This window comes from Homo sapiens, chromosome 2 (genome assembly GCF_000001405.40).
Source record: "Homo sapiens chromosome 2, GRCh38.p14 Primary Assembly".
In the NCBI taxonomy this organism is placed as follows: Eukaryota; Metazoa; Chordata; class Mammalia; order Primates; family Hominidae; genus Homo; species Homo sapiens.
Window position 1 is genome coordinate 210,157,300 of NC_000002.12, and position 27,042 is coordinate 210,184,341.

Here is a 27,042-nt window from a genome sequence, read left to right on the forward strand (position 1 = left end):
ATAACCAAACTAGCGAGCAGCAGAGACAGAAGGTGAAATATCACAAGGCAGGAAAATTCATCTTAGTCTCTGGATAAAGATACGGAAAAGCTAAATATAACAAGTAGAGAAAAGACGTGGGTGCAGTGGCTCATGCCTGTAATACAAGCACTTTGGGAAGTCAAGGTGAAGGATTGCTGGAGCCCTGGAGTTCGAGACCAGCCTGGGCAACATAAGGAGACTTCTCTACAAATACTAAAAAATGTCCTAGGTGTGGCGACATGTGCCAGTGGTCCCAGCTACTTGAGAGGCTAAGGCAGGAAGATCACTTGAGCCTGGACGTTGAAGCTGCAGTGAGCTGTGATTGCACCACTGCCCTCCAGCCTGAGCAACAGAGCAAAACACTGTCACAGAAAAAAAAAAAAAAAAAAAAAAAAAAAAAGATACACATGGCTGGGCACAGTGGCTCATGCCTATAATCCCAGCACTCTGGGAGGCCTAAGAGGTGGATCGTTTGAGCCCAGGACTTCCAGACCAGCCTGGGCAACATGATGAAATCCAGGCTCTGCAAAAAAATGATAGTGCCATTGCACTCCAGCTTGAGTGACAGAGCAAGACCCTGTCAAAAAAAAAGAAAGCAGATTAGTATTTAAGAAATACAATTCGTAGCAAAAAGAGAAAGGGAAAAAATGCAAAGATTAAAAGTGGCTAAGGCCCATTTATGGTAGAGAACTAGAATAAAACATATATACAAAATCTCTGGGTGAGATCTCTAGGGCTTACCGGTAGGACAGGTAGCTTCCAAAATAACCTTAATAATCCCCACCCTCTTCGTATTCATGCCCTTGTTTAATCCTCTCCTAGAACAGGGACTGGATTTAGTAACTCACTTTTAATGAAAATGTAGCAGAGGTGATAAGATGACTTCTGAGATTAGGTAACAAAGAGACTGTGGCTTCCATCTGGCCACCCTCTCTTATTCAGGGAAGCCAGCTGCCATGTTATGAGCTAGAAAGACCCACATGGTATAGAAATGATGTCTCCAACCAACATATAGCAAAGAATCTGAGGCCTGCTAACAGCCATGTGAGTGATCTGAGAAACAGATCCTTCCCAGTAATGCCTTTAGATGACTGTTGCCCTAGCCAACACCTTGATTAACAACAGCCTTATGAGAGACCTTGAGCCAGAGGCACCCAGCTAAGCTTACATGCCTACATTCTTGACCCACAGCAATTATGAAATAACACGTAATTTAAGCCACTAAATTTGGGGGTAATATACTACACAGTAATAAATAATGAATACACTTGGATATGAAGACTTTTAAGCTCTAGTCTATGAAAGTCCGGGACATATCATAGCTCTTATTCAGGGATTTCCATTAAGTCCTTCTGTATTCTATTCCCAAGTGTATCCTTATAAAAAAAAAAAAAAACCTAGCCTAAGTAAGTCTCTCTACTTTGCAACCAAAAGAAACTAATGAAAATAGCTATGTCTCCTATAAATAAAAAAGATTAAATTATGTTCAGTATAGTTTTAGCACAAAATATAAGTACATTTCTTCCAATTATTTAAATTATCTAGATATATAATCATTTTACATAACAATGTTTCCCAACTGAATATTCTAAACTACCACTTCTGACGACCTCCATATTATATAAACAACTACACTTATCACTAACACTTCTAAGCTCTATTAAAGGCTTGGATTTTTGAACAGTTTTGTTAACTACTGTATCCTCAACATGCAAATCTATTTGACATACAGAAGATGCGCAACAAATAACCTGGTGAGAAAATGAGTGGTTGCCAGTATATTTAAAATCCAAAGTTGTCCTTACGATAGCCTACAAAATTGGTATTATCAGGTTCCTGACTACTTTGCCTTCTACAACTCTTTCCATGAATTACTGCACTCCAGAAACACCGGCCTCTATGCTGTATTTGAAACACACCAAGCAAGTCTCTTGACACAGTGACTTTGTGTTTGCTATTCTCTCAGCCTGAAACAATTTTTTACAAATAAGATGGCTGGCTCCCTCACTTCATTTACTTCTGCTCTAAGGTCACCTCATCAGAGTCCTTCCCTGACCAATATATTTTAAATAGCTTCAGCCTCTTGGTTCATGACTCTCCATTCCCTTACACTGCTTTATTGCTCTTCATAGCACTATTGCCACCTGACATTATATTACATTCTAGGAAAGAATGTAGTTTAAGTGCAAGAACTCAATGATCTAATCTCCAGCACTAGAATAATGCCTGGCACACAGTAATTATCATGTATTTGTTGACTAAATTCATAAATTAATTGATCATGATATTTAAAGGCATTTCAGGATTTTGGTACTCACAAGTAGTAACAACACCTATTTCAATTACTATTTTTTAATTGTACAAAACAACAAAATATAGAAAGGATACTATGTTCAAGTATGGCTTATTTCATGAACACAAGACTGGTTCAACATTAAAGAAAACAACAGGCCGGGCGCGGTGGCTCACGCCTATAATCCCAGCACTTTGGGAGGCCGAGGCAGGCGGATCGAGACCATCCTGACTAAAAAGGTGAAACCCCGTCTCTACTAAAAATACAAAAAAAATAGCTGGGTGTGGCGGTGGGCACCTGTAGTCCCAGCTATTCGGGAGGCTGAGGCAGGAGAATGGTGTGAACCCGGGAGGTGGAGCTTGCAGTGAGCCGAGATCACGCCACTGCACTCCAGCCTGGGTGACAGAGCGAGACTCCGTCTCAAAAAAAAGAAAACAATAACTAAAATTCACCATATCAATAGACTAAAGAGAAACCATATGATGTCAATAAATGGAGAAAAAGCATTTGACAAAATTCAATATCCATTCATGAGAAAAACTCAGCAAATTAGGAAGGAGAGGGAATGTCTTTAATCTGATAAAAAGCATGTACACAAATGCCTATAGCTCACATCATAATTAATGGTGAAAGACTGAATGTTTCTGCCCTAAGACTGGGAATGAGGCAAGGTAGACATTTCTCACCACTCATACTCAATGTTGTACTGGAGGACCTAGTTAGTGCTGTAGAGCAAGAAAAAAAAAAGAAATAAAAAGCACAGATTAGAAAGTAAGTAAAACTGTCTCTATTCACAGATGACGTGATTTTCTACATAGAAAATCCCAAGGGATTGAACTCCTCGACTAATGAATTTAATAAGGCAGCAAACACAAGGTCAACCTACAAAACTCATTTATATTTCTATATGCTAGAAATAAAAAACTAGAAATAGAAATTTTTAAACAGTAATAATTCCAACACCTGCAAAAATGCTTTGGTATAAATCTAAACACAAGATGATGCACATGGTCTTTATACTGAAAAATACAAAACACCCATAAAAATATCAAGACCTAAATAGTGCATTACACTATGTTCACAGATAAAACTATTCAATATTGTTATGATGCTAATTCTCCTCAAACTGATTTATAAGTTTAGATACAAAATCTTGGCAGGACATTTTGCTGATATCTACAAGCTAATTCAAAGATTTATATGAAAGTTAAAGGAACCAGAATAGCCAAAACAATTTGGAAAAGAACAAAGTTGAAGGATTCACACAACTTACCAATTTCTAGTAGACAAGACAGTGTGGCATTAGCAAAAGGATGAACACATATATGGAAAAAAACAGAGCTCAGGAACAGACCCACGCACATACGGCCAATTTTTTTTTTTTTTTTTTTTTGAGACGGAGTTTCACTCTGTCGCCCAGGCTGGAGTGCAATGGCGTGATCTCGGCTCACCGCAACCTCCGCCTCCCAGGTTGAAGTGATTCTCCCGCCTCAGCCTCCCAAGTAGCTGGGATTACAGGTACCCGCCATCATGCCCGGCTAATTTTTGTATTTTTGTAGAGATGGGGTTTCACCATGTTGGCCAGGCTGGTCTTAAACTCCTGACCTCAGGTGATCTGCCTACCTCAGCCTCCCAAAGTGCTAGGATTACAGGGGTGAGCCACTGCGCCTGGCCTGATTATTTTGACAAAGATAGCAAGGCAATTAAATGTAGAAACCTTGTTTCTTAAATCATATCATTCTAAACTAATTGGACATCCATAGGGAAAAAAAAATGAAACTGAATACGTATTTCATACCTTATATAAAAATGGTCAGACCTATCAGAATGAATCATGAGCCTAAATGTAAAACCTGTAACTATACAACTTCTAGAAAAAATGTTTGTGACACTGCTTTAGGCAAAGCTTTTTTTAGATATGACACCAAAAGCATTATTCACAAAAAGTTGCTAAATTGGACTTCCTAAAAATTAAATACTAAATAAACTTTTTAAAATAATTATTTAAAATAGAACTGTTGGGAACCTCTGACATATATATTCAGAAGATAATGTGTTCAAGAGTTCGTAGAAATTAGATGTACATATTACTGAAAGTCACTGAGTTTATCATTCAGATTAATGCTGAATAGTGGTTTTGACCATGACATAGCTTTAAATTTTATTTATTTTTTTAGGTATTATTTCATTTATACAGATAGTAAACAATTTGTTCAAGGCAAAATGAGTAAGGAGGAATACTGATTTGAAAAGCATAAAAATTTTTTAAAATTTTTATTTTAAAGTTTGTGGGTACAAAGATGGTGTATATATTTATGGGGTAGATGATGGGTATGCATGGTGGCTCATGCCTGTGATCCTAGTATTTTGGGAGGCCAAGGCGGGAGGATCACTTGAGCCCAGGAGTTTGAGACCAGCCTGCGTAATATGGTGAGACCCTGTCTCTATTTAAAAAAAAAAAAAATATATATATATACACACACACACATATATTTTTATCCAAAACTAATTGGACGTATCCAGCTGATATGAAGAATTGGTCTTCATATCCAAGTGTATTCATTATTTATTACTGTCTAATATATTACCCCCAAATTTAGTGGTTCAGGTATATATATATATATATATATGTATATCAATAAAAATTAAAAAATTAAAGAACTTGTTTCAAGACAGAGTCAACAATGCTTGACAAAGACTTAACAGGAATTAAGGGAAAGGAAGGAATCAAGGATGACTCCTAGGTTTTTAGCTTGAGCAACTGGGTGGTCAGTGGTGCTATTTTCTGACCTAAGGGAGCAGACTTGGGGAGGAAGAAAGTTGAAGAAGAAAAAAATAAAAATTTCTGTTTTGGATATGTTACTTTTTAAGTGTCTTTTAAACATTCAAGTGGAAACAGCTATAAAAACAAGTCTGGAGTTCAAGCAAGAATTCATAATTAGAGAGATTATTTTGCAGAGTCACTGGCATATAAATAGTATTTACCCTAGGGAGTGGGTATAAGCAAAGAGAAAGGAGCCCAGGACAAAACGTGGGGGTTTACTCACATTTACTTGAGCAAAGGAAGAGGAGCTATAAAAGAGGAAGGACGCTAAAAGAAAACTGAAAAGATCATCGAGATAGGAGGAAATCCAGAAGTGTATGAAATCAAGATACCAACGTGTTTAGAAGTGTATAACATGGTCAGTTCTGTCAAATGCTAAACAGGTCAAGCAGATGAAGATAGCAAAGCCGATATTACTTTTTAAGGAATGTATTGCTTTTAAAAGGTTACATATTAACTAAATATCCAACTCCAGCAGCCTCTAGCCATTCTATCCTACCTAAGCAGGGAAAAACTGAGAAGCACTAGTGAAGTTCACAGCCCAGGGCACAGGCTCATTGAAAGACAGACCTTATCACTGGAATACAGAACATCTTTTCTATCCTTACATCTTATTAAAAGCCTATTTACTAGAGTTCCTTTTACTCAGCACATCATGTTCAGCTTTCAAGAGAAAACGACAAGGCACACTAAAGGGCAAACAACATAGTTTGAAGAGACAGCAAGCATCAGAACCAGATTTAGATATGGCAAGAATGATGGAATTACTAGACCAGGAATTTAAAACAACTATGATTAATATGCTAAGGCCTCTAATGGAAAAAACAGACAACATGCAACAAATGACAGGTAATGTAAGAAGAGAGATGGAAATTCTAAAAAGAGAATAAAAATGAAATGCTAGAAATCAAAAACACTGCAACAAAAATAATGTCTTTGATGGGCTTAGTAGCAGACTGGATGTGGTGGAAGAAAGTAGCACTAAGCTTGAAGATACAGCAATAGAAACCTCCAAAACTAAAAAGGAAAGAGAACAAAGATGGCAGGGGGTTTGAGGAAGAAGAGACTATCCAACCAAGAACTGTGGGACAATTACAAATGGTGTAACATATGCATAATGGGAATACCAGAAGGAGAAGAGAAAAAGAAAAGAAAATTGAAACAATAATGACTAAGAATTTCTCCAAATTAATGTCAGACACCAAACCACATATCCAGGAAGCTCAGAGAACACCAAACTATCACTTAATAAATGAAGAAATATATAAAATTATATTACATGAAATTTTATATACAATAGTATACTTATAACAAATGATCCATTTAAAAATTTTTACTAGAAATTACTTCATCACATATTTTCCCCAAATAGATCAAAAGCTACATGAAGGCAGGTGTTATGTGTTCACTCATCATCGTATTCTAGAATATTTTATGGCACATAGCAGGCTCATAATAAATATTTCTTGAACAAATACTATCCAAAATGGTAAAATTATTTTAAAATTTCAAGGAAGAAGGTTCATGAGATATATTTTATTGTGAAGGAGTCTCAAGGCAAAAAAATTAGGAAACATTAGTATAGAATGTAACTGTCCAATAGAAATATGAAGTGGCTACATATGTAATTTTAAACTTGCTACTACTAGACATATTTTTAAAAGAAACATGAAAAATTAAATTTAATGTCATCATATATATAAAGTATCATATATCAACATGTAATCAATACATAAACATCTTGATAAGCTATTTTCTATTCCTCTGTATGTGTGCCAAGTCTTGTAACCAGGGATCAACTATCGACTACTATATTTCAGTCCCCCAATTTTTTGGCCAAATCTATTGTTTAATATTTTTAGGCACCTATAGTATTCTAGGCTTTATGGAAAGTTTATGGAAAATAAATCCTCAAATAGCTTTCTAAAAAGCACCTGGATCTTCCTATAAATACTCAGTTTCTAATTATTTAGGTTTCCAATTATACACATAATTGGGCAGGAGTATTTGGATCCTTGCTAAATCTAAGAAATGTCTTTACAACTACTAAAATACTTTATTATATTACTCTAGGCACCACCATCATCTTTGATGATTATTTCTTTCATATACACCCAAGATACTTAGGAACAAGAGGTCCCTTTTCTAAAAGAATTTAGTCTAATGATGCAGAACTTCGAAGAACCTAGAAGGAAGAAAACTGGAAAAAAGAATTAAACTTTTTGTCACAACACACAGAAATGAAAATATCAAACTTACAGAATTTAAGAAGCAAAACTAAGTTATGAAAATATATCAGTCCTCTTTCAAAGAAAGCAACTAGATACATAATCTTGATTCTGTCAATAGGTAACAGTTCTAGATAATCCAAAAACCAACTATGTTTCTTGGGTATAAATTTTACTTTTATTTTTTCTGTTTTTTTTTTTTTGTTTTTTTTTGTTTTGAGATGGAGTCTCGCCCCGCCACCTAGGCTGGAGTGCAATGGCACAATCTCAGCTCACTGCAACTTCCGCTTCCTGGGTTCAAGCGATTCTCCTGCCCCAGCCTCCCAAGTAGCTGGGATTACAGATGCATGCCACCATGCCCAGCTAATTTTTTGTATCTTTAGTAGAGATGGGGTTTCACCATGTTGGCCAGGCTGGTCTCGAACTCCTGACCTCGTGATCTGCCCACCAAAGCACTGGCATACTTTTACGTTTTTACAACAGAATTTTCAACTTACATTCCAATTTTACTAAAAAAAAAACCAAAAAACAAAAAACAAAAAAAATTCCTTAGCACATCAGCAGCCCAGAAATGTTATGGATGGCAAAACAAAACAAAAACCAGTCTGTTATAAAACTGTTACAGATAGTCTATCAAGTAAATAATCCTCCAGTAAGCAATTCCAAACTCAGTGTATCTCCGGTTTTTTTAAGAAGTCTTATTAAAAAACACCAGAGAGAATTTCAGTAAGACAAGACAAAGCTTATGTTTTTAAATAATAAACATTTTTTAAAACTAGAAAGAATCAATTTTTTTGTTTTTGGTTATATTAAATTTGTTATAAATAAAATTAATCTAATAAAAACAAGGGGGGATTGTAAAGTTAAATCTACACCATAAATTCTAATTTTTAGACTACAATTTAATCCAAAGAACAATCACTGTGAATTAAGGCATTAGTTGCTATTAGTTGCTCTGAAATTATTATAAATAAAATTAAGTTAATCTGATAAAAACAATAGGTAGACTGTAAAGTTAAATCTATACCATAAATTCTAATTTTGGGTCTACAATTTAATCCAAAGAACGTTCATTGTGAGTTAAGGAAAGCATGAGTTACTATTAGTTGTTCTGAAATTGTGTAACAGTAGTCTCCCCTTATCAGCTGTTTCACTTCCATGGTTCGAGTAACCTGTGGTCAACTGCAGTCCAAAAACAGGTGAGTACAGTAAGGTAAGATATTTTGAGAGCGAGCAAGAAGAGCACATTCACATAACTTTTATGTATAGTTATAACTGTTCTACTACTGTTGTTGCTAATCTTTTACTATGCCTAATTCATAAATTCAACTTGATCATATGTATGTATGGTTAGAAAAAAATAAAGTATATATAGGGTTAAGTACTGTCTGCGATTTCAGGTACCACTGGGGATCTGAAACATATACCCCAAAAATAAAGATGGACTACTGTACTACAAATAAAAGGTCTTGCCCTGTTGTCTCCAGACTTTCCATTAGGAGTTTAATCTATATTTTTTAAGATTTCTAAACCATACATATTTATGAATTTAGCATTAATTAAATGCAATCTGATCCCTTGGACATCATGAAATACAGTAAAAGCCATCATCCTCAAAAGGTGCATGTACACAGTGAGATAATTACCAAGTCAATAGTTACTGAGTTGGTCCAGACAGTTAATAATCAGACCTTTACAAATTAATACATAGGTCACATATTTCAAAAAATTTTTGACAAACTTTCTAAAGAAAAATAAAAAATTTGCTAATCTAATCTCAACGCTCAGAGTTGAAACTGATAATCTATATAAGAACCACTCTTCCTCCTGAGAATGTGCATTAAAGATTAAAGGCCAAATCTGAATTCCTATCCCCTAAAATACTGCTCCAGATTCTGATTTATATTCTAGAATGCATACATATATTCCATATATGCCATGGAAAATATCCTATCCAAATCTGCCCCTGAACATTAAATTTATTCTTTTAACTGGAATCTGGATAATCCCAGCTCTCTTAAATGCAGAGCAAAGAAACAAACTAGGAAAACATTATCAGAAAGACAGCAGATTTATACTTGATGCTTAAATAAAGTGAAAAGACTACCAACAGTATTTTGAGAGAGGGGAGAACCCTGAAGTAGGGTCAAATAATAAATTATTTCCACACTTGTGACCTAAATGTTTCATATAGCTAACCTAGGCCAATTACAGAAAGAAAGAGTAGAAAAAAGACAAATTCTTTTAGCAAAATATGAGAAGTTTTTAAACATTATCTCTAGACTATAAGGAGACTAGAGGAGTACAGTCGTGCCACTGCATTTCAGCCTGGGTGACAGAGAGACACTGTCTCTACAAAAATTTAAAAATAAATAAATAAAAAATATATGAGGATTCAAAGTTACTGAATTGTAGCAGGGAAAAGTCCAATTAAACAAACAAAAAAAGAATGAGCTCACACTGGTACAGTTTTATTCCTCAAAAATACAGGAATTAATGGAAAGTAGGAATACAAAATACAGTGTTGTTTTCAAGATTTCTTCATGCCACTTTACAGGAATTCTCAATTTACTGCAGTAAACACTGCAATAACTGGCATAACTAGGATTCAGTCAGCTCAGTACTTTATATTCAATGATGTTTTATAAGCAAGAACTTCTTCCACTTTGAAAACTATGCCTAAAAAGGAATTCTCTTTGAAGACTAAAGGAATTTAATTAAAGATAAAGCCACTTGGGTGGCTACATAACACATCAAACAGATCATACTTCAAGCAGAATTATTACTTTTCACTTGTAAGTGCATGACTCATAGTCATTTTTTTCTGTGTATATCGATTTGGATCCAAAAATCTACATGTAGAAGTACACTATCACATTTGCTCAGTCTATATACTTTAGCTTCAATTTAACTTCACATGAATAAACACTGATTAATGACCTACTGCTGAATAAAAATTTGTTTAAATAAAAACAACACACTTGAGAATTGTCTTGGACTGGAAACAAAGCCTCAATATTATATAAAATAAACAAAAAGTTCATAAATATTTTTAGAATATTAACAAAGTCTCAATATTATTAATGAATTTTCACGTCCATACAGAAATGTTTCTAAGAACCTAAAAATAACATCAAGTATTTAAAATTTCCATTATGAATAGTCTTTGGATTTTTATTATAGACTATCTACTGGCAAGTTTAATAGTACCGTTTTTATTAACATTTGCTGGGTGTTTATCCCACATGATTAGGGAATAAGGAGTACAATTCAGTGAAAAGTCCCCATAAAACAACATTTAAAAGAAAAAGAAAGGTAGAAATCTCTTGGAAATTATATATCTTCCTTGCCTTTCTAAATGGAACATACTAAAAGTAATGTAAGATTGTATTTATGATTCAGGGTCATCATGATGTAAATTATTCCATTAAAGTACTATAATGCAGTATCAGCTTTAAGGATAGCGATATGAGAGATATGCTTTAAAATTAGTAAATTAGTTGCTAATTGTCCAATAAATGTCACTCCTGCTGCAAGCAGCCCCATTCCTTTCTGTTTGTATCTTGATGAACCCAATCAGTAAACAACCCTAAGCATAATTCTATACCTGAAGAAAGCAGCTCTCTGCCTCCTTCAACTACCATCTAATACTATATAGACAAAATAAGGGTATGGAGAGATTATCTGAATACATGAAAAACATCATGAAAACAAGGATTACATATTATTTATAAGATTTATGTGGTAGATTAAAGGGCATAAAGGATCCTATAGGCAATAAGAAGTGAGCTACCAAGAACCATCTCAATAATAAAGGAACTTCAGATAGCAGGCATCATTTTTTGTCAAACACAGTAAAAGCTACAAGTGAAACTACATTGATCAGTGAAACCTTTACGTTAATTTCATAGAAGACAGATGAATGAGTAAAGGAAATGAAATAATCTAAGGTATCATGATAAATGGCATCAAAATTGGATGAAGTTCTTGGATAATGCAGCAGTTGGGCTATGAGAAGTTAATTGACCTTCTGGTAGACAACTGTGATCAGATCACTGAGGCCTCACCTGAATGAAAAAGTAGTAAAAGTTATGAATCCAACAATAATAGTATATTACTAACAATGTACTAGTAAACTGAGTAAAACAAAAAGCAAAAGACAATTTCCTGATCTTCCATAGATAAAAAAGATAAATATTAGCCCACTGGCAAGTATTTATTGAGCACCCACTAAGTGATCTGCAGCATGTCAAACATGAAATATATTTCTTTCTCTCAAGCACTTTACAATAAGTTAAAAAATAAAAGATACATCACAGATTAGAGTGAAAAAATTTAAAATGCAAATTAAAGCAAGGTTTTTAGTTTTAAAGCCTAATACTAGGTGATAAACAAAGACATAATGGGAGGCACACACATACCACTAGATCACTGTAAATCAATACAACATTCTGTAATTTGGTGATGACATAAGAGCCTTAAAAAACACACACACAAACAAACAACAAAAACAGACTCTTTGGCCCAGTAATTCCTCTTCTACAAATCTAAGGGGGGGAAATTTCAAAGGTTTATGTAAAAGGATATTGTCTGTAGTGAAATATACACTAGCAAAACCAGAAACATCCCACATACGTGCCAACAGAAAAAATTTAAAATATGATAGTTACATGGCGAAATGTTAAGCAGCTATTAAAAATATTTTTCAAAGAATAATGATATGCGAATGTCTGAGTTAAATGAAAATACCATGTGGTCTCAGTTTTAGGAAAAATACACATATATGCAGACAGAAATATTTAAAGTACAAAATATTTATAGTTTTCTTATTTGCACTCATCTATTTTCCAATTACTTTATAATAATAAGATTTAACAAAATAATCGATTGTTATTTGCAAAGGCGCATCATGAAACAAAATTAAAATGTAAATGTTAAAAGTCAATGTGAGAGAATTGGCCTGGATTAAGAAGTTTCACATAAAAAATTACTCCAGACAGTTTGCGGGAGAGAATAATCTATGTAGATTAAAACCATGAGGAAATGGTTGCAGACGCTGACACTGATCTAAGTAGGTGGAAACTGAGGGAGAACCAAAGATAATGGTTACAACAGATTTTAAAGATACTCAAATATATTCTATTTCATGATTAATTCATTGTTTATATTTCCCCAACATGTGGGCTTTTAAAAAATTCACTTTTGTTATAAAAATAACACTACTTGGCAATTGGTAGAGATTAGGAATCACTTTTCCTAATACAAGGCATTTCTTCTTTCTTACAATCTCTTAAGACAGAGACCATATTATGAAACTTTACAAAAACGAAACAAGTTTGACATCAGAGAGGTGACTAACCCAAAGAAATGGCTAGTTATTAAGAACGGGAAAGGCAGAGACCACTCACTGTTAAGCCTCTTTCTCAATACTGAATTATTTTTAGAGTCATTTTTTCCTAGTCAGAAATTGCCAGTTTTGTCTGCAGTGCTCACTTCACTTAGGTTTTGTGGCTAACAAACCTGCCCCATCCAGCAATATTTAAAATTATTACTGACCCAAACTCAGATGAAGTTAAGCAAACTGGCTAAAGACGAAGGAAGTTTGTCTCCTAAACCTCGCCAGAACATGAATGTCCTGAAGTTTGGGGAATCAAAAACGGAATGTGCTTACCACAGTTCAAACAAAAAAACAAACAAAAACGGACTCTCCCAGAGTAAGAAAACATTACAAGAACGTCCATCCAGTGCCTGCCCTCCCGACTGCAAAGCCAGCCTCTTTCCTTTCCTGTGGTTTCTGAAACGGCCAGGATACCGCCTGGTATTTCTTGCTACCAAACACCACGCAATCTGACTTTTTCCAGCAAGACCGGTCCCTTCCTCAGCACACCGGTGACACAAACTTGGAAGCACCGTCCCTCAAAAATCCCCTAGATTCTGCTCTATCCCATCTAACTCTAAAGCCCAAATCTACGTTTTCCTGAAAGAAAGTGTGAAATAAATAAAATAGGGGTCTCATCAAATCCAGTGGGCTCCGCCTCAGAGCCGCCTCAAAAGAGCCGTCACCACACCCCCAATGGGTGAGGCTCAGCCGATGAGGCAAGAGGCGGGTCCAGGAAACCACGTGTTCTGCCTTCTGCGCACGCGCCAGCCAAAACAAAAGGGAGGTCTGCCAAGCCCCACCCCCCACGTGACCGGCGTCCAGGTCCGCCCCCACCCCTCCCTAGACCCCTTCCCTCCCCAGCTGCCAAGGCTGTTAGGTTTAGCCGTTTAAATTTGGCTGCGGTCAGACCCCCGCCCTAGAGCGCGATCCCGTGCCGAGACCAGAGTCCAGCAGCCCAGAGGATTCGGGGGGCGAAGGGGCTGCCGGTCGGTCGCCTGACCCGCAAGTCCACCCGGCAGTCTTCTCCCCTCCCCGCGCTGCCGCCGTCCCCAAGAGGGAAGACCCACCCCCGTCATCCCGCCGCTGAGACGCCGGCCACTCGCCTGCTGGGGCGCCCTGGCTCCCCTCCGCCGCCGCACCTTCGGTCCGGCCGTGGTGGGGGCTGCTGAGGTGATCTCTAGCTGCCCGCCCGCCTCCCCCACCCGGGGCGCCGCTGACTCGTCTCCAGAGCGCGCCCCGCTCCCGCCCCGGCCGCCGCCGCCGCCGCCGCCGCCGCCGCCGCCGCCGCCGCCGCCGCGGTTTAACAGTCCGCCCGCTGCCCGCAGCTCCGTGCGGCTCGGGGGGACGGAACCCTGCCGCGGTCTGGGAGCAGTGGGCGGGGCCCGGCGCTAGCCAATGGCAACGGGGGAGGGGCAGCGCCATGCAAATGAAGCGGGTGGCGGGGAAACCCCGGCAGGGGGCGGGGCCTGCAGAAGCGGCTCGGAGTGTTCTGGAAGTGGCAGGAGCACGACTCCCTTAACTCTGGTGCAGGGTTTACCTCGGCTCCCTCGGGACGGGTTCCGTGCAGCTCCTGCTTCCTCCCTTCTCTTTCCCAGTGCCATCCCTGGCGAGGGGGAAAAAAAAAAACACGGCCAGGAGACTTCCCACCCCTGCTTTGCTATTTTTGTACCTCCGTGACAGAAAAACAAAACCCTGAGGAAAAGTCAGGCGACTTCATTCCCTGCCGTCCGCGCCGGGGCCTCGACTACTGCTGGCGTCCGCGGCTTTCGCCCGCCGCTCCACAGGCGAGTTTTAAGAGATTTCTCACAATTGTCAAGTCCGCAAGTCTCCGTGCGTTTGCTTTTATTTGGGCCGTGCGTTCAAATGCGCTCATAATTCTTTCTGACCCTCAGAGGGGCCCTGAAGTAGGTGACAAATTTGCCTTGGATCCAACTGGGTGGTTTTATGATTAAAAAAAAAAAAACAGACAAAGCAGTTTTAAGTCTCTACAAATCTGGTTTGAGTGGCGCTGGACCTAACTCCCCTCTGCAGTAACGCTGTCAAATAAACAAACGGAGTTTATGTGGAGATAGTTGGCCAGCGACACCCAAAAACACTTCTGAGCGTCTTGCACCTGGCCCCGCGAACCGCTCACCACAAAACAAACCTGCACCTGGGCACTTCCCCAGCCAAGAACTCGATTTTTTTAAAACTGAACTCTAAATGTAGCTTCTTAGATGTTGTATCACAGTCTTTCCTAAGCACCGAATTTACACATGAAATGATTTAAGGAACGAAGAGCACTAGGCTTTTTAAGCCAGAAGGATAATAGCCATTATTTTAACCTTATCAATTGGATAAGATCCCGGGGGCGGAAGAGGGGAGAAATCCAAGGAATTGCAGTCATAACAAAGCGTAATCCGTAACATAGATAACTGGAATTGGAAAATTAGCTACTCGTTCCTGGTTCTTCTAGTAGATTGTGATATTACTGAAATAATTTTTATGACCAGCTGCATTTATTGGAGCTATATTTTTTTAATTACTGAATAATTGCACCTCGATATGGGGCAAGGGAAGAATTTTAGGAAATTGATTTACTTTCATTGTAATAAAAATTGTAAGCTAATGATGTGTTGTGAAAAATAATTAAATCAGTAAGTATTTATTGGATATTTACCATATTCAAAGGACTGTCCTAGTCCCTGGGGACAGAAATGCAAAAATGAATAAAGTATTTTTTAAAGTTTTGTTTTTTTAATTAGCAGTTTGAGACATCTAATAAGCATGTGTTAAGATAGATCAAAGGAAGATTCTGGATTTGAGTTGGACGTTTAAAAGACTTAAGAGAGAGGAGGAAGGCATCAATAGTTCAGGAGATAGTGTCCTTGGGTGGTTTGAGGAGATGTTGTGTGAATATTTGGGGGGCAGAAAAGTACATTGTCAACTAGATTGAGTAAATCTTGAATGACAGGAATTCAGATTTTAACCTGAAGGAACTGTAGAGACATCAAATCATTTAATGGTAGTTTTCTCCTGTGAAATAATTTTTTGCTACCAAACAAAATATTTATATATTTGCCAAATGTTTATTGAACACATGTTTTGTGATGGCTAATGAAGATATATTAGTAAACAAATTCCCTGTCCTCATGGAGTTTATAGAGGATGACAAAGGGATTAAGCTTTGTAACTACACAAATAGTGATTCATACAGCATTTCTACATATATTATGTAATTTGTTCATCACATAGCCGTGGGAGGTAGGCTGTTTCCAATACTCTAGATTAATTTTTTTTTTTTTTTTGAGACGGAGTCTCACACTGTCTCCCAGGCTGGAGTGCAGTGGTGCGATCTCGCCTCACTGCAAGCTCCGCCTCCCGGGTTCATGCCATTCTCCTGCCTCAGCCTCCCGAGTAGCTGGGACTACAGGCGCCCGCCACCAAGACCGGCTAATTTTTTTTTTTTTTTTTTGTATTTTTAGTAGAGACGGAGTTTCACTATGTTAGCCAGGATGGTCTAGATCTCCTGACCTGGTGATCTGCCCGCCTCGGCCTCCCAAAATGCTGGGATTACAGGCGTGAGCCACAACACCCGGCCGCTCCAGATTAATTCTTTTATCTTCTAGTCAGCCCTGCCGCCTGCTAAATGTTACAGACCTTAAATAAATATTTCAATCTATCAAGCTATCATACATGTACATTTTCCCTATTTTATATTCGGTTTAATAGGAATGTGGGGAGATGATTAACAAAATAATACAGGTTTGATATAAAATATATAGGAAAGCACAAAGAAGAAAACCACAATCATATGCAAAGTCTGTTGTATTTTATATGTATGACACTGTGCATACTGGTTTTTTATCCCATTTAGCTACATGTTAAGCACACTATCCCTTGACACTGAATATTGTTCTAAAGCATGATTTTATTATTTGTAGCATATACATGCGAGTTTTCCAGACACTATAGAATATCAGTTCTCCTTATTACAAAAATTGATATACTGAATCATTTGTCAAATTATTTTCTATATTACTCAGCAACAGCCTGAAAAGTGCATGTAGTTAATGTTTTTTTAAAATCAAGGACATATCATTTAGAAGGTACATTAAAAGCATTCTGATTTCCAAGAAAAAATATAACAGTGGTAAGAATAGAACACTTTAAAATCCAGCAAGAACAAGGAGAAGTAAAGGGCACCATTCTTGCTGACATAATAATTACCTATCTGGAAGCTTTAAAAAATGTCCAGGTAAGCAGTATTACAATGATTTCATGAGATAAACTTCTCTCTTCAACACTGGTTTTTATTCAGTCATTCCTTTCACTCAAGAAACATTCATGCAACACTTAGTATAGCTGACACTGTGATAAATGCTAGAGATAAAGGAGAAAGATCAATCTTTAATTTCAAGCAACTCACAGCCAAGAAGGGGCTTTTCTATCCCCCTTTGTTACTTTGTTTTTCTCCATTGCACTTATCAGCATGTAATGTAACATAGATTTTGATTTTTTTACTTTTGTAGTCTATCGCCCTAAATTAGACCATAAGCTCCATGAAGTCAGGCACTTTTGCTGGTTCGCTCATTGCTGTATCCCTAGAGCCTAGGACAGGGCCTGACACATGTGGATTCTCAATGCATATTTAATGTCTGGATAAATTAATTTTCACATCCCAGAAAGTGAATGTTATATTCATTTTCCAGGTGAAAAAAATATGAAGCTCAGTGAGATTAATGTACCTAGATTCTTATGCTAATAAATGGCCCATTTCGAAGACAGACCTGACTGGGTCCAAAGCCAGAGTTCTTTCCTCACTACCTCTCACAGAATAGAAAGCCTATTCTATTCTATTCTATTCTATCCTATTCTATTCTATTCTATCCTATCCTATTCTATTCTATTCTATTCTATTCTATTCTATTCTATTCTATTCTATTCTATTCCATTCCATTCCACGCCATGCCACGCCACGCCATGCCACGCCACCCCACCCCACCCCACCCCACCCTACCCTACCCTACCCTACCCTACTCTATTCGAGGTTGTCCTATTTATTTCTCCACATTTCTATGCCCTGAGAAACTGTCCCCCACTGTTATATTCCAGTATATTTAATTCTTCTTTTATGATCAGGTTTAGAGAGGGAAATAGAAGCAGAACGGCTAAACATGATAATCCCTACTCAGGACAGATTTAGCTTTAACTAACCAGTATCTATAAACAAGCAGACAAAAGGTAGAGGTAGGTAGCAAGACCTATAAGAATCTTCGAACCAGGGCTAAGTATAACAGAGAACAGAACTGGCCCATGACTACAGGGGAACAAAATGATTCCCTGTGTATATGAATATCCATGGCACTTTTATTCACAACAGCCTCAAACTGGAAACAGCCCTAAGATCCATCACCTTTGAAAGGATAAAGAGCTGGGCACGGTGGCTCACGCCTGTAATCCCAACACTTTGGGAGGCCGAGGCGGGCAGATCACCTGAAGTCAGGATTTCCAGATCAGCCTGACCAACATGGTGAAACCCCATCTCTACTAAAAATACAGAATTACCCGGGCATGATGGCACATGCCTGTAATCCCAGCTACTTGGGAGGCTGAGGCACGATAATCACTTGAACCCAGGGGGCAGAGGTTGCAGTGAGTGGAGATCATGCCATTGCACTCCAGCCTGGGCAGCAAGAGCAAAACTCCATCTCAAAAAAAAAAAAAAAAATGAAAGGGTAAAGAAATTATGGTACATTTTTCTTTGTATTCTATTATAGTGGTATAATAGAATACCACTCAGAAATAAAAAGAAGAAACTACTGATATATAAAACAACAAGGATGAGTCTCAAACAGTATGCTGAGTGAAAGAAGCCAGACACAGAATCATAAATATTGGATGATTCCATTTATATAAAGCTCTAGAGAAAGACAAATCTAACCAATAATGACAGAAAACAGATCAGTGGTTTCTTAGGGTTGGGGTGGGGAGAATTGACTGGGATGGGATTAAAGGGTGACAAAAAAGTTCTATATCTTGACCATGGTGGAAGTCAAATGGGTGCATGCATTTGTCAAAACTCATCAAAATATACTTAAAATGGGAACTCCCTAATGAAAGTGGACTAAGAAACCTCAAGAAGTTCTCAGTCTAAAATTAAAAACTAGGAAAATAGGTTGTGTATAATGTATGAGAAAACTCAAAATAATGATAGCTTTAAAACAGAAGGGTTAATCCTTTAACATATTTTATTGATTCTAAGACACCTTTTTTCCACACTTTAACATTTCAGAGATCAGAATAACTTCACAGTTCATGCAATAAGAAAGTATTGTATGAGTTTGATTGGCAGTGTTTTTTTAATGATACATAAATAGTGCATCTTAAGAATCAATAAAATGCAGTAAAATTAGTCTACAGATTAATTATTCCAGAACTGTTATAACAGCTCCACAAAGTCACCAGAGACCCAGGCTCCTTTCTATTATTTTATCTTCTCCATTCTCAGCCCTGGCTTCCATTTTCAAAGCAATCTCATGGTCCCAGATGGCTGGTGGAACCCCAATCATAACTATCCATTTCCCAGGCAGCAGGAAGAAAGAAGAGCGGGAAAGCAAACAGAGCCTTTAAGGTGACTTTCCTGAGTCCCTCTCAACAATTCTACAACTTCATCAGGTGGATAAGTTAATCTTTTATTTTACTTGTAGCTATTGTAAATGGTTTTACTTTCTTGATTTCTTCTCTAGATTGTATGCTGTTGGCATATAGAAATGCTACTGATTTTTGTATGTTGATTTTGTATCCTGCAACTTACTGAATTTATCAGTTTTAGTAGTTTTTTTGGTGGACTTCTTCCTTTCCAATGTGGATGCCCTTTATTTCTTTTGCTATTTTTACAAATTTGCCCTGAAAAAGTTTTATTTCTTCTTCTTTTTAAACATTTTAAGTTCAGGGGTACAAATGCAGGTATGTTACATAGGTAAACTTGTGTCATGGGGGTTTGTGTCCAGATTGTTTCATCAGCCAGGTATTAAGCCTAGTATCCATTAGTTGTTTTTCCTGATCCTCTCCCTCCTCCCACCCTCCATCCTCCAAAAGGCCCCAGTGTGTGTTGTTCCCCTCTATGTATTCATGTTTTCTCATCATTTAGCTCCCACTTATAAGTGAGAACATGCGGTATTTGGTTTTCTGTTCCTGAGTTAGCTAAGGATAATGGCCTCCAGCTCCATCCATGTCCCTCCAATGGACATGCAATGGACATCTCATCTTTTATATGGCTGCATAGTATTCCATGGTGTATATGTACCACATTTTCTTTATCCAGTCTGAAAAGATACTCTTTTCAATAAGTAGTGTTGGAACAGTTAGATATTTAGATGCAAAAAAAGTAAGCCTTAACATGAAACTTCATGCTTTATAAAAAAATTACTAAAGGGAATATAGATCTAAATGAACAATATAAAATATAACCTTCTTAGAAGAAAACATAGAAAACCTTATGATTTGGGTTTGGGTAAAGAGTTCTTAGACATGACACCAAATGCATGACCCACAAAATAAAAAAGTGGTAAACTGAAATTCGTCAAAATTAAAAAACTTTTGTTCTGAGAAATCAACTGTTAAAAGAATGAACTAGCTACAGTGAGAAAATATTTGCAAACCACATATCTAACAATGGACTTGTATCTATAGCGGAACAGCTCTGCAGCGGCTGACAACCTTGCATAGGCCACATAAGCAAGGCTTGAATGGCAGCTGAATCTTGGCAGAATGCTTTGTGATCCTCCTGGAATAGGAAAGCATGGGGGCTTGTGAGGTAGTGCTACATGCCATTGCTTACTGGCTTCCCTGTATACCAAGGAGGCTGCCAAAGACCCTTTGTCATTATCTCATGGTTTCTGATGAGGTACAAGGCTTCCTGTCTTGCTACCCTTAAGGCACAAATGCAGCTATTAAAAAAAACTGCTTAGCAGTATCATGGAAATGGGCTCCTCAGCAACAGGGAATCCTATCATTCTTGTTGTGGTCATGTGGCTTCTTTTGTTTCACTGTCTCCCTATACAAAGGTAACGAAGAGCTGGATCCTTTAGCTACTCTTCTTTTTACTCTCTATGTAAGCAATAAACTGAGTCTAAAAAGGTCTTGTTTTTTTGCAGCTGAATCTGTTAGCCTAGCTTTGCCTTGTACTTGACAGTATCCAGAATATATAAAGAATTTTCAAAACTCACCATAAAGAAAACAAACAACACAATTAAAAAATGGGCAAAAGAAAGGTAATATGTGAAAGGCAAGTAAGCACATGATATATTGTTCTGCATGATTAGACATAAAGGAAATTCAAATTAAAACCATGGTGACATGCTACTACATACCTATTAGAATGGCAAAAATTAAAAAAACAAAGTGCTGGAGAAGATTCAAAGTAACTGGAACTCTTACATTGCTGGTTGGTCAGCAAAGTGGTACAGGCACTTTGGAAAAACAGTTTGGCAGTTTCTTATAAGTTTAAACACACACTTACCATGTGACACAACAAGTCCTCTCCAGGATATTTAACCTTAACAAGATATTAAGATTTAATCTTAACCAACGTGTCTGTAAACAGGTGAATGAATAAACTGTGGTACATGCCTACAGTTAGCACCAAAAAAGGAAGAAGCTATTGACTCATGCAACATGGATGGATCATAAATATATTTTGCTAAGAGAAAGAAATTATTCTCGAAAGATAACATACTATAGTAATAGGTGTGGAGAGGGTGTGACTATAAAGGGCAGAATTTTTTGAGGTGAAAAGACTGTTGAGGGAGTTTTTTGGGGGTGATAAGACTGTTCTGTATATCCTAACTGTGGTGGTGATCACATCAATCTATAAATGCTAAAACTCTCAGAACCAAAAAAGGCAATTTTACTGTTACGTATGAATACCAAAAAAGGGAAAATATGCTATATGTTAACTTTTAAAATGAAATTTATAAAGAGAAAGGAAAAAGAGAAAAGGGAGGACTGCTATTTAAAAAAGGAGAGAGACAGAGAGAGAGAGACCAAATACAATTTGTGGACCTTGTTCAGATCCTTATTTGAATAAACTAACTATAAAAGGCATTTTTGATGCAGTCAAGGAAAATGTAATGTGAACTTGGACTTATATATTAAATTTAGGTTTTTTAAAGTATGATAATAACCTTGTGGCCATGTAAAAATATCTTCACCAGTTAGATACATATTCTGAAATACATTTGTGTTTGTGAAGTAGCATTAAATCTGGGATTTGCCCTATAATATGTGAGGAAAAAAGTGGAGGAGATTGGCAAATGTTGAAGCTGGAGGTTCATTATATTGTACTCTATTTTTTAGTAAGTTTGAAGTTTTCCATAAGTTTTTTCTTAAAAATGACATTTTAAAAATTATAGTAGAATTTCTTTTCCTCATTTATTGTAAAGCAGCAGACATAGACCTACAGTTGGTTTCAATCTCAGTGTCAAATCTTTCCAATGACTCCAAATAAATAAATGCTGTGTGTGCCAAAAATAATACTGACATGAGAAAAATTCTGCTAGAAATCTTATACTTTGAGTAATAAGCTACTAGAATTACTAGATTAGTAAAAATTTGAAGAGTTAGATTTTAAAATAGCAAATCAAAACAGTTTTCAATGACACCATCAAAGAAACAAAGGGCAAGAGTAATTTTAAAGCAATCATGATCCTAAAACTCTTAGCCAAAAAACAAAATTACTCAGGCTTTTAAACTCTCATTTATATTTACACAATGTTTCTTTCTTGCTGTGTTGGTCCAGCCTGTTCTTTTAAGCATTATTATTATTTATCATTTCTTGAGCACTCAGCACTGCATGAGATACAGATAAGTTCCCTCCCTAGGAGACAACAATCAAAGCCACACAAGCAAAACATAAAGATAAGCTGTTTAAGAAATGAAAACCAAATGAAAGATTAAGAAGCACATTGTGAATTCCCTTTTTTTGTTTGTTTCAGCTTTAAGCCCATGATACAAAACATGCTTCTTTTGGGGGTGTAAAACAAGACTGTAGTTGTTAAGATAAAGCCACTGGCTTAGAATAGAAAATATCCCAGAGATCATTGTAAGAAAACATCCTACCTTAGAAATCTTTTCACTTTCTGCTATACATAAATTACTAGAAACTATTCCTAGCTCTAGAGGACTGTAATCACTATGTATGTGTGCACGTGTGTGTGTGAGAAAGAGGAATAGAAGGAGAGAGATTTAGGTCTGCCCAGCAGCCTTTTTTGTTCCCTTTCTTTTGATAATACCACACTGCTTCAGAGACTGCTTCTCCCAGTCCACATATTCCTGATGGAACTGTCAATCATAGTCCATTTCTTCCCTACCTTATAATGACAGATGCAGGCCTGAAGCAGCACAAGGTGATTTTTACAGGGCTCATAATGAAGGTCTTCTACAGGGTTCATTAGGCCAATTTGCAAAGAAAAGTAGTAATAAATGGATATAGCATAAATGCTGGCAGTTCTAAGCTCCAGAATCAGGCCCTTGAAACTCCAGTTCCTACAGGTCTTTATATGAGCTGCTCTGCAATACTTTTAAGCAACTAAACTTAAGTTCTTGCCTAGGGTGGTTTCAGTTGGGTTTCTTTTGTCATTTGCACCTGACAAAATCTTGGGAAGGTAAACAACATACCCAAGGTTGAGCGGCTCCTAAATGGCAGTCATTCAAACCTAACTCTGTCCATCTCTACACAACAGACTTTTCCTACTGTGCTAATTTACTTTTTAAACCTACAGATGTTTCATTCCTAAAATCTAGTTTTCTTCAAGATTGGGAATGGAAGGAAAAGAGGCTGCAGTGAAGTGGGGCAGTGTGGAAGGGGTCCGTCTAGTCCTCTGTCACTTTCTGGCAGTAGGAGAAAAGTGAAAGCCACAAATACAGTAAAATCTAATAAAAAATTATATTAATCCACTTTGCATATGAGAAAGATCCTAAGCTGGCAACTATACAAACTTCTGCCTAAGAGCAAATCAAAGCTGTATAGTTCTAGGAAAGAATGGTATAGGTATAGGGTGATTTCTGCATTTCCAACTGAGGTACCCAACTCATCTCACTGGGACTCGTTAGACAGTGGGTGCAGCCCATGGAAGGTGAGCCAAAACAGGGTGGGGTGTTGCCTCACCCAGGAAGTGCAAGGGGTCAGGGAACTCCCTCCCCTAGCCAAGGGAAGCCAGGAGGGACTGTACTGTGAGGAACTGTACATTCTGGCCCAGATACTACATTTTCCCCATGGTCTTTGCAACCTGCAGACCAGGAGATTCCCTCGGATGCCTACACCACCAGGGCCCTGGGTTTCAAGCACAAAACTGGGCAGCCATTTGGGCAGACACTGAGCTATCTGCAGTTTTTTTTTTTTTCACACCCCAGTGGTGCCTGAAACACCAGCAGGACAGAACCGTTCACTCCCCTGGAAAAGAGGCTGAAGCCAGGAAGCCAAGTGGTCTAGCTCAGCAGATCCCACCCCCACAGAGCCCAGCAAGCTAAGATCCACTGGCTTGAAATTCTCACTCCCAGCACAGCAGTCTGAAGTCAACCTGGATGCTCGAGCTTGGTCGGGGGAGGGGCATTCGCCATTACTGAGGCTTGAGTAGGCGGTTTCCCCCTCACAGTGTAAACAAAGCCACCTGGAAGTTTGAACTAGGCAGAGCCAACCGCAGCTCTGCAAAGCTGCTGTAGCCAGACTGCCTCTCTAGATTCCTCCTCTCTGGGCAGGCCATCTCTGAAAGAAAGGCAGCAGCCCCAGTCGTGTTTATAGATAAAACTCCCATCTCGCTGGGACAGAGCACCTGGAATAAGGGGTGGCTGGGAGCGCAGCGTCAAGACTTAAACATTCCTGCCTGCTGGCTGTGAAGAGAGCAGTGAATCTCCCAGCACAGTGCTCAAGCTCTGCTAAGGGACAGACCGCCTCCTCAAGTGGGTACCTGACCCCGCTGCCTCCTGACTGGGAGACACCCCCCAGCAGGGGTCGACAAACACCTCATACAGGAGAGCTCTGGCTAGCATCTGGCAGGTGCCCCTCTGGGACAAAGCTTCCACAGGAAGGAACAGGCAGCAATCTTTGCTATGCTGCAGCCTTCGATGGTGATACCCAGGCAAACAGGGTCTGGAGTGGACCTCCAGCAAACTCCAGGAGACCTGCAGCAGAGGGGTCTGTTAGAAGGAAAACTAACAAACAGAAAGGAATAGCATCAACATCAACAAAAAGGACGTCCACACAGAAACCCCAATCAAAGTTCAACAACATCAAAGACCAAAGGTAGATAAATCCATGAAGATAAGGAAAAACCAGCACAAAAAGGCTGAAAATTCCAAACACCAGAACGTCAATTCTCCTCCAAAGGATCACAACTCCTTGCCAGCAAGGGAACAAAACTGGACAGAGAATGGGTTTGAGGAATTGACAGAACTAGACTTCAGAAGGTGGGTAATAACAAATTTCTCCAAGCTAAAGGAGCATGTTCTAACCCAATGCAAGGAAGCTAAGAATCTTGAAAAAAAGGTTAGAAGCATTGCTAACTAGAATAACCAGTTTAGAGAAGAACATAAATAGCCTGATGGAGCTGAAAAATACAGCACCAGAACTTAGTGAAGCATACACAAGTATCAATAGCCGAATCAATCAAGCAGAAGAAAGGATATCAGAGATTAAAGATCAACTTAATGAAATAAAGCATGAAGACAAGATTAGAGAAAAAGTAATGAAAAGGAATGAATAAAGCCTCCAAGAGATATGGGACTATGTGAAAGGACCAAATCTACATTTGATTGGTGTACCTGAAAGTGATGGGGAGAATGGAACCAAGTTGGAAAATACTCTTCAGGGTATTATCCAGGAGAACTTCCCCAACCTAGCAAGATAGGTCAACATTCAAATTCAGAAAATACAGAGAACACCACAAAGATACTCCTCAAGAAGAGCAACCCCAAGACACATAATCATCAGAATCACCAAGGTTGAAATGAAGGAAAAAATGTTAAGGGCAGCCAGAGAGAAAGGTCGGTTTACCCACAAAGGGAAGCCTATCAGATTAACAGCAGATCTCCCTGCAGAAACCCTACAAGCCAGAAGAGAATGGGGGCCAATATTCAACATTCTTAAAGAAAAGAATTTTCAACCCAGAATTTCATATCCAGTCAAACTAAGCTTCATAAGCAAAGGAGAAATAAAATCCTTTACAGACAAGCAAATGCTGAGAGATTTTGTCATCACCAGGCCTGCATTACAAGAGCTCCTGAAGGAAGCACTAAATATGGAAAGGAACAACCAGTACCAGCCACTGCAAAGACGTACTAAATTGTAAAGGCCACTGATACTATGAAGAAAATGCATCAACTAACGGGTAAAATAACCAGCTAGCCTCATAATGACAGGATCAAATTCAGACATAACAATATTAACCTTAAATGTAAATGGGCTAAATGCCCCAATTAAAAGACACAGACTGGCAAATTGGATAAAGAGTCAAGACCCATTGGTGTGCTATATTCAGGAGACCTATCTCTTGTGCAAAACACACATAGGCTCAAAATAAAGGGATGGAAGAATATCTACCAAGCAAATGGAGATCCAAAAAAAAGCAGGGGTTTCAATCCTAGTCTCTCTAAAAACAGACTTTAAACCAACAAAGATCAAAAAAGACAAAGAAGGGCATTACAGGGATCAATGCAACAAGAAACACTAACTATCCTAAATATATATGCACCCAATACAGGAGCACCCAGATTCATAAAGAAAGTTCTTAGAGGCCTACAAAGAGAATTAGACTCCCACACAATAATAGTGGGAGACTTTAACACCCCACTGTGAATATTAGATCAATGAGACAGAAAATTAAGAAGATATTCAGGATTTGAACTCAGCTCTGGACCAAGTGAGCCTAATAGACATCTACAGAACTCTCCACCCCAAATCAACAGAATATACATTCTTCTCAGCACCACATTGCACTTATTCTAAAATTGACCACATAATTGGAAGTAAAGCACTCCTCAGCAAATGCAAAAGAACAGAAACCACAACAAACAGTCTCTCAGACCACAGTACAATCAAATTAGAACTCAGGATTAAGAAACTCACTCAAAACCGCACAACTACATGGAAACTGAACACCACCTGCTCCTGAATGACTACTGGCTAAATAATGAAATTAAGGCAGAAATCAAGATGTTCTTTGAAATGAATGAGAGCAAAGAGACAATGTACCAGAATCTCTGGGACTCAGCTAAAGCAGTATTTAGAGGGAAATTAATAGCACTAAATGCCCACAGG

At 38.1% G+C, this 27,042-nt stretch overlaps 1 protein-coding gene across 15 annotated transcripts in view, besides 10 other annotated features; it reads right to left on the reverse strand.

Moving 5' to 3' along the window:
- The window catches only part of KANSL1L (KAT8 regulatory NSL complex subunit 1 like), a 151,340-nt gene extending 135,879 nt beyond the window's left edge, over positions 1-15,461 (reverse strand). For 8 of the 15 annotated variants that reach the window (XM_005246332.6, XM_005246328.5, XM_047443490.1 and 5 more), the window contains exon 1: positions 13,038-13,427. In XM_005246332.6, coding sequence (XP_005246389.1) covers positions 13,038-13,107 — 70 coding nt within the window. In that variant the 5' untranslated portion in view covers positions 13,108-13,427. Of the gene's footprint in view, positions 1-13,037; positions 13,428-13,813; positions 14,111-14,283 lie in introns of those variants that run through there. The other 7 variants (NM_001307976.2, NM_152519.4, XM_047443493.1 and 4 more) reach the window with 4 other exon arrangements.
- Positions 13,135-13,769: an enhancer, noted in NCBI's record as "H3K27ac hESC enhancer chr2:211035158-211035792 (GRCh37/hg19 assembly coordinates)". NCBI's record gives its function as "activates a minimal SCP1, AML or CMV promoter by ChIP-STARR-seq in naive H9 embryonic stem cells {active_cell/tissue: H9 hESC(naive)}" and the evidence as "EXISTENCE:reporter gene assay evidence [ECO:0000049][PMID:30033119]".
- Positions 13,135-14,405: a biological region, named in NCBI's record as "H3K27ac hESC enhancers GRCh37_chr2:211035158-211035792 and GRCh37_chr2:211035793-211036428".
- Positions 13,197-13,376: an enhancer, noted in NCBI's record as "active region_17055". NCBI's record gives its function as "activates an Ori minimal core promoter by ATAC-STARR-seq in GM12878 lymphoblastoid cells {active_cell/tissue: GM12878}" and the evidence as "EXISTENCE:reporter gene assay evidence [ECO:0000049][PMID:35858748]".
- Positions 13,567-13,876: a silencer, noted in NCBI's record as "silent region_12292". NCBI's record gives its function as "represses an Ori minimal core promoter by ATAC-STARR-seq in GM12878 lymphoblastoid cells {active_cell/tissue: GM12878}" and the evidence as "EXISTENCE:reporter gene assay evidence [ECO:0000049][PMID:35858748]".
- Positions 13,770-14,405: an enhancer, noted in NCBI's record as "H3K27ac hESC enhancer chr2:211035793-211036428 (GRCh37/hg19 assembly coordinates)". NCBI's record gives its function as "activates a minimal SCP1, AML or CMV promoter by ChIP-STARR-seq in primed H9 embryonic stem cells {active_cell/tissue: H9 hESC(primed)}" and the evidence as "EXISTENCE:reporter gene assay evidence [ECO:0000049][PMID:30033119]".
- Positions 13,997-14,326: a silencer, noted in NCBI's record as "silent region_12293". NCBI's record gives its function as "represses an Ori minimal core promoter by ATAC-STARR-seq in GM12878 lymphoblastoid cells {active_cell/tissue: GM12878}" and the evidence as "EXISTENCE:reporter gene assay evidence [ECO:0000049][PMID:35858748]".
- Positions 14,406-15,039: an enhancer, noted in NCBI's record as "H3K27ac hESC enhancer chr2:211036429-211037062 (GRCh37/hg19 assembly coordinates)". NCBI's record gives its function as "activates a minimal SCP1, AML or CMV promoter by ChIP-STARR-seq in primed H9 embryonic stem cells {active_cell/tissue: H9 hESC(primed)}" and the evidence as "EXISTENCE:reporter gene assay evidence [ECO:0000049][PMID:30033119]".
- Positions 20,088-20,589: an enhancer, noted in NCBI's record as "OCT4-NANOG-H3K27ac hESC enhancer chr2:211042111-211042612 (GRCh37/hg19 assembly coordinates)". NCBI's record gives its function as "activates a minimal SCP1, AML or CMV promoter by ChIP-STARR-seq in naive H9 embryonic stem cells {active_cell/tissue: H9 hESC(naive)}" and the evidence as "EXISTENCE:reporter gene assay evidence [ECO:0000049][PMID:30033119]".
- Positions 20,590-21,089: an enhancer, noted in NCBI's record as "OCT4-NANOG-H3K27ac hESC enhancer chr2:211042613-211043112 (GRCh37/hg19 assembly coordinates)". NCBI's record gives its function as "activates a minimal SCP1, AML or CMV promoter by ChIP-STARR-seq in naive H9 embryonic stem cells {active_cell/tissue: H9 hESC(naive)}" and the evidence as "EXISTENCE:reporter gene assay evidence [ECO:0000049][PMID:30033119]".
- Positions 23,663-24,308: an enhancer, noted in NCBI's record as "OCT4-NANOG-H3K27ac-H3K4me1 hESC enhancer chr2:211045686-211046331 (GRCh37/hg19 assembly coordinates)". NCBI's record gives its function as "activates a minimal SCP1, AML or CMV promoter by ChIP-STARR-seq in primed H9 embryonic stem cells {active_cell/tissue: H9 hESC(primed)}" and the evidence as "EXISTENCE:reporter gene assay evidence [ECO:0000049][PMID:30033119]".